The following is a 6,448-nucleotide window of genomic DNA, read 5'->3' as shown; positions in this document are numbered from 1 at the left end:
GGTCAGGAATTTGAGACCAGCCTGGCCAACATGGCGAAACCCCATCTCTACAAAACTTAGAAAAATTAGCAGGGCATGGTGGTGTGCACCTGTAGTCCCAGCTGCTTGGGGGCTGAGGTGGGAGGATTGCTTGAGCCCAGGTGGTTAAAGCTGCAGTGAGCCATGTTTGCACCACTGCACTCCAGCCTGGGTGACAGAGTGAGACCCTATCTCTAAACAAATGAAAATAATAATAATAATAATGAGTACCCCACAGTACCACATGCTGCAGAAAGAGGTCAAAGAAGAAGTTAAAGGATTATAAATGTCAGTGAGAGATATTACCCTGAGTGGCTGAAGCAAAAGCATGGGGCTGAGTAGAACACAGAAGAGAAGGGGCAGTTCCATGACGTAGTTCAGAAAGCACAGGGCTTAGAGTAAGTCCCACAAAATAAAACAGACCCTCGCTCTGGCCTTGGGCAAGACACTAGAGCTCTGTAAGTTTTACTTTCTCCATTTAATATAATGGTGAGGGGAGGGTACCTTTATGAAAATCAGCCACATCTACAAAAATAAATGCTGTTTTTCAGCTATACTGGTAACACAGGCATTCTCTAGTATGAGTTAGGTGATGGATTGCAGTACATGGAGTGGCCTACAGAATCACTCCCAGTCCACACATGGGGGACTGGCACAGAAACAGCAATAAGGAGTGCTTCTGAGGTCAAACCGAGGCAGGAATTAGGAGAAGAAAGTGACCAAGTGCAGGTAGAGAATGGGGAGGAGCTGAGAACAAGGAGGAGGGGTAGCTTTAAGAAAGGAGAGACTAGGCGCCATGGCTCATGCCTGTAATCCCAGCACTTTGGGAGGCTGAGGCGGGCGGATCACGAGGTCAAGAGATGGAGCCCATCCTGGCCAATATGGTGAAACCCCGTCTCTACCAAAAATACAAAAATTTGCTGGGCTGGTGGCACGCGCCTGTAGTCCCAGTTACTCAGGAGGCTGAGGCAGGAGAATCGCTTGAACTCGGGAGGCAAGGGTGGCAGTGAGCTGAGATCGTGCCACTGCACTCTAGCCTGGTGACAGAGGGAGACTCTCAAAAAAAAAAAAAAAGAAAGAAAGGAGAAAGGGCAGGGCGCGGTGGCTCACGCCTGTAATCCCGGCACTTTGGGAGGTCGAGGCAGGTGGATCACCTGAGGTCAGGAATTTGAGACCAGCCTGGCCAACATGGTAAAACCCTGTCTCTAGTAAAAATACAAAAAATTAGCTGGGCGTGGTGGCAGGCACCTGTAATCCCAGCTACTCGGGGGGCTGAGGCAGGAGAATGCTTGAACCCAGGAGGCGGAGGTTGCAGTGAGCCGAGATCGCGCCATTGCACTCCAGCCAGGGCAGCAAGAGCGAAACTGCGTCTCAAAGAAAAACAAACAAAAAACAAGAAAGGAGAAAGGAACTGTGGTAAGCATTACCTGGAACTTCCCAGATGCTCATGCTTATCAGGAGCCAAGTAGAAGTTTCTATCTAAGCTGTCTTTGCCCCCAAATCTGGTCACCTAAGTAAGGGAGTATAAATTGTTTCATGACCAGTACTCAGATTCTGGAAATAAAGGCCAAGTTAATAATGGACACTATAATGTGAGGATGAACATGAGATTATGAATGTGAAATACATAGTGTCTAGTCAAGAGTAGGCATTCAGGGCTCGGCACGGTGGCTCATGCCTGTAATCCCAGCACGTTGGGAGGCCGAGATGGGTGGTTCACTTGAGGGCAGAAGGTCGAGAGCAGCCTGGCCAACATGGGAAAACCCTGTCTCTACTACAAATACAAAAATTATCCGGGCGTGATTGCATGCACCCATAGCCCCAGCTACTCGAGATGCTAAAATGGGAGAATCACTTGAACCCAGGACGGAGGTCACAGTGAGCTGAGATCATGCCACTGCACTCTAGCCTGGGTGACAGAGCAAGATCCTGTCTCAAAAAAAAAAGAGTAGGCATTCAGTAAGATGTAACCCCATGTTATGAACGGAATCATGTCCCCTCCCCTTTCCAAATTCACAGGTTGAATCCCTAACCCCCAGTGTGACTGTAAGATCAACATGACACCTTTACTAGTCATAAAACTAACACAGGAGAGCCCAGCGTGCACATGACCTGAGCAAAGTGGGTGAGGAGGCAGAGGCTGCAAGTGCTGTGCTCACGGAGCTCCCCCTCAGTGGAGAGGAACACCAAGAATGAGGGAGAAGCGCGCCCACCTCCAAAACCAGCAGCAAGCTATGGCTGTTTGTGTGCGTGACTATTTGGCTGTCCCTAGCTGCATCTGGTACAGCCATCTCTTCTGTTACCACATATGTGCTAATGACTTTCAAATCTATAAATCCATATTTTCAACTTGTGCCATGAACATCTCAAACACAAAATGCCCCAAGTAAGACTTGTCACCTGTATCAACCCTCACTCTACCCCCGTTGTTGTTGTTGTTGTTATTGTTGTTTGAGACGGAGTCTCGCTCTGTCGCCCAGGCTGGAGTGCAGTGGCGTCATCTCGGCTCACTGCAAGCTCTGCCTCCCGAATTCACGCCATTCTCCTGCCTCAGCCTCCCGAGTAGCTGGGACTACAGGCACCCGCCACCACGCCTGGCTAATTTTTTTGTGTTTTTAGTAGAGACGGGGTTTCACCGTGTTAGCCAGGATGGTCTCGATCTCCTGACCTCGTGATCTGCCCATCTCGGCCTCCCAAAGTGCTGGGATTACAGGCGTGAGCCACCACGCCCGGCCGTTTTTTTTTTTTTGTTTTGTTTTGTTTTGTTTTGAGACAGAGTCTCGTGCTGTCACCCAGGCTGGAGTGCAGTGGCGCGATATCGGCTCACTGCAAGCTCTGCCTCCCAGGTTCAAGCAATTCTCCTGCCTCAGTCTCCCGAGTAGCTGAGACTACAGGCGCCCGCCACCACGCCCAGCTTATTTTTTTTTTATTTTTTATTTTTTTGGTATTTTTAGTAGAGGCAGGGTTTCACCATGTCAGGCTCGTCTCGAACTCCTGACCTCAAATGATCCGCCTGCCTCAGCCTCCCAAAGTGCTGGGATTATAGGCATGAGCCACTGTGCCCGGCCTCTACCCTTCTTTGTTAGACTGTTCTGTATTTCCTACCTCTGTATACTAAATCTACCTCATCTCCAAAGTTATAAATCTGATGATGCACCTAGGTTTTCTTACACCCAATCTAGCATCTAGCTCCTGATTCTTCCCAAACAAGATCCTTTCTCGCTATCTCTGTTGTTACTACTTGAAGCTCACTTTATTTATTTATTTATTTATTTAATAGTGTTTTCCTTGACAGGTTTCCTTGCTTCTGGCTTTTTTCCTCCAGTACATTTATCATCCATCTGCCAGATGGGTTCTTCTAAAATGCAATTCTAACATTGGTCCCTTCAAGAAATACTTAGAAGTTTCCCATTTTGGCCGGGCGCGGTGGCTCATGCCTGTAATCCCAGCACTTTGGGAGGCCGAGACGGGCGGATCACTCGAGGTCAGGAGTTCAAGAGCAGTCTGGCCAACGTGGTGAAACCCCGTCTCTACTAAAAATACAAAAATTAGCCAGGCATGGTGGCACATGCCTGTAGTCCCAGCTACTTGGGAGGCTGAGGTGGGAGAATTGCTTCAACCCGGGAGGTGGAGGTTGCAGTCAGCTGAGATCACGCCATTGCACTCCACCCTGGGCAACAGAGCAAGACTGTCTCAAAAAAAAAAAGAAGAAGTTTCCCATTTTATTATAAATGCATTCTTTAATAAGACCTAGAAAAGGCCGGGCACGGTGGCTCACGCCTGTAATCCCAGCACTCTGGGAGGCCGAGATGGGCAGATCACGAGGTCAGGAGATTGAGACCATCCTGGCTAACACGGTGAAACCCCGTCTCTACTAAAAATACAAAAAATTAGCCGGGCGAGGTGGCGGGACCTAGAAGAACCTGTGAGCTGACCCTGACCTGCCGCTTCAGTTTGACCTTCACAATGTGAGCCTCAGCCTCATCGCACAGCATGTATCTTTCTCAAGTGCATTATATTCTCTCATGACTCTCGTCTGTCTGGAATGCCTTCCCTCCCTCACATCACCTCCCTCACATTCCATGATTCAGTCCAGAGAAAAGGAATGTTTTAGCTATATGCTTGTCTCTTCTCCCAGCACCTCTAAATTCCTTCCTCTAAAGCACTCCCCACTGAAACTCTGTCTGCTTCCCCTCATAGCCTGAACCCCTGGAGGGCATCTGTATGCTCTTGTTTTTGCATTTTCTCCACTTAACACACACCTGACATAGAAGACATTCTAGGGCTAAGCGTGGTGGCACACCCAGTTACTTGAGAGGCTGAGGTGAGAGGGTCGCTTGAGCTCAGGAGGTTGAGGCCAGCCTGGAGGACATAGCAAGAGCCCGTTTCTAAAAGGAAGAAAAACAAGACATTCTAGAAATTCTTCTTGAATGGTCAGAAGGAGCGATGAATTGGGTTTTGGGTACTGAGGATAGAAAGGATGGATATGAAAAAAAGGTAAAGAAGATTAAGCAGGGTTTGGTGACTGGGTCACATGAGGGAGAAATCAAACATTCTTGAAATCATGTCTTTCAGTCCCACTAGATGGGAAAGGAATGTATGTACATTTCAAAGCTGTCACAGGTGATTCTGACATGCTAATTTTGTATCATTACTCTTCCTCTCCCATTTTCTTTCCAAACAGTGAATTTGAGAAAAACCACTCAAAAATTTTTTTTTCTTTTTTCTTTTTTTTTCGAGATGGCTGTCACCCAAGCTGGAGTGCAGTGGCACAATCTTGTGCAGCTGTCACCCAAGCTGGAGTGCAGCATCACCCAAGCTGTCACTGTGTCACCCAAGTTGGAGTGCAGTGTGGCGCAATCTTGGCTCATTGCAACCTCTGCCTCCCGGGTTCAAGCGATTCTCCTGCCTCAGCCTCCTGAACAGCTGGGACTACAGGTGTGCACACCATGCCTGGCTACTTTTTGTATTTTTAGTAGAGACGGGGTTTCACCATGTTGGCCAGGCTGGTCTCGAACTCCTGACCTCAGGTGATCTGCCCACCTCGGCCTCCCAAAGTGCTGGGATTACAGGCATGAGCCACCACACCCGGCCTGCAGTTAAAATTTTATGTCTTCTTCCTAAAACTAAAGACTATTTCATAGTTAGGATTTTTGCTGGGTGGGGTGTTTCAAAGGTTTCTATTTGACATGTTCAGTTGTCAGTGCCCTGCACTGTAGGCTTTCTCTTTTATTTTATTTTTTAATTTTTTTTTTTATTTTTTGAGATGGAGTCTCACTCTGTCGCCTAGGCTGGAGTGCAGTGGCGTGATCTCGGCTCACTGCAACCTCCACCCTCCGAGTTCAAGCGATTCTCCTGCCTCAGCCTCCCAAGTAGCTGGGATTACGGATGCCTGCCACTGTGCCCGGCTAATTTTTTTTTGTATTTTTAGTAGAGACGGGGTTTCACCATCTTGGCCAGGCTGGTCTTGAACTCCTGATCTCGTGATCCACCCACCTCGGCCTCCCAAAGTGCTGGGATTACAGGCGTGAGCCACTGTGCCCGACCTCTCTTTTCTTTTTTAAATAGAGACAGGGTCTTGCCATGTTGCCCAGGCTAGTCTTGAACTCCTGGCCTCAAGTTATCCTCTGCTGCCTTCGCCTCCTAAAGTGCTGGGATTAAACCAGTGAAACATGAGGCACAGCCCACTGTAGGCTTTCTACTCCTTAGAACATCTGACAATACCAGCTACTATGGAGAATATGGAGCAACTAGAGTTCTCACACATTGCTGATGGGAATGCAAAACAGCATCATGCCATTCTAGAAAATGATTTGTTTCTTATAAATATGTACTTACTGAATGACCAGCAATCCCACTCTTGGGTATTTATCCTAGACAAATGAAAACCTCTGTTCACACAAAAACATGTACATGACATGGCCAGGTGTGGTGACTCACGCCTGTAATCCCAGCACTTTGGGAGGCCGAGGCAGGCGGATCGCGAGGTCAGGAGATCGAGACCATCCTGGCTAACATGGTGAAACCCTGTCTCTACTAAAAATACAAAAAAAAAAAAAAAAAAAAAAAAAAAAGTAGCCGGGCGTGGTGGCGGGCGCCTGTAGTCCCAGCTACTCTGGAGGCTGAGGCAGGAGAATGGCATGGACCTGGGAGGCAGAGCCTGCAGTGAGCCAAGATCGCGCCACTGCACTCCAGCCTGGCCTACAGAGCGAGACTCCATCTCAAAAAAAAAAGAAAAAAACACTTACATGAATGTTTGCAGCAGCTCCCTTCAGAATTGCTAAAATTTGGAACAATCCAAATGTCCTTTGATGAACGGTGGCTATACAAACTGTGATACATCCATAGTACTAATGCATTTTTTTCTTTTCTTTTGAGACAAAGTCTCCCTCTGTCGCCCAGGCTGGATTGCAGTGGTGTGATCTCCACT

This window comes from Homo sapiens, chromosome 7 (assembly GCF_000001405.40).
Source record: "Homo sapiens chromosome 7, GRCh38.p14 Primary Assembly".
Taxonomy (NCBI): Eukaryota; Metazoa; Chordata; class Mammalia; order Primates; family Hominidae; genus Homo; species Homo sapiens.
The sequence above is the reverse complement of the archived record's forward strand: the minus strand, read 5'-3'. Positions refer to the sequence as shown.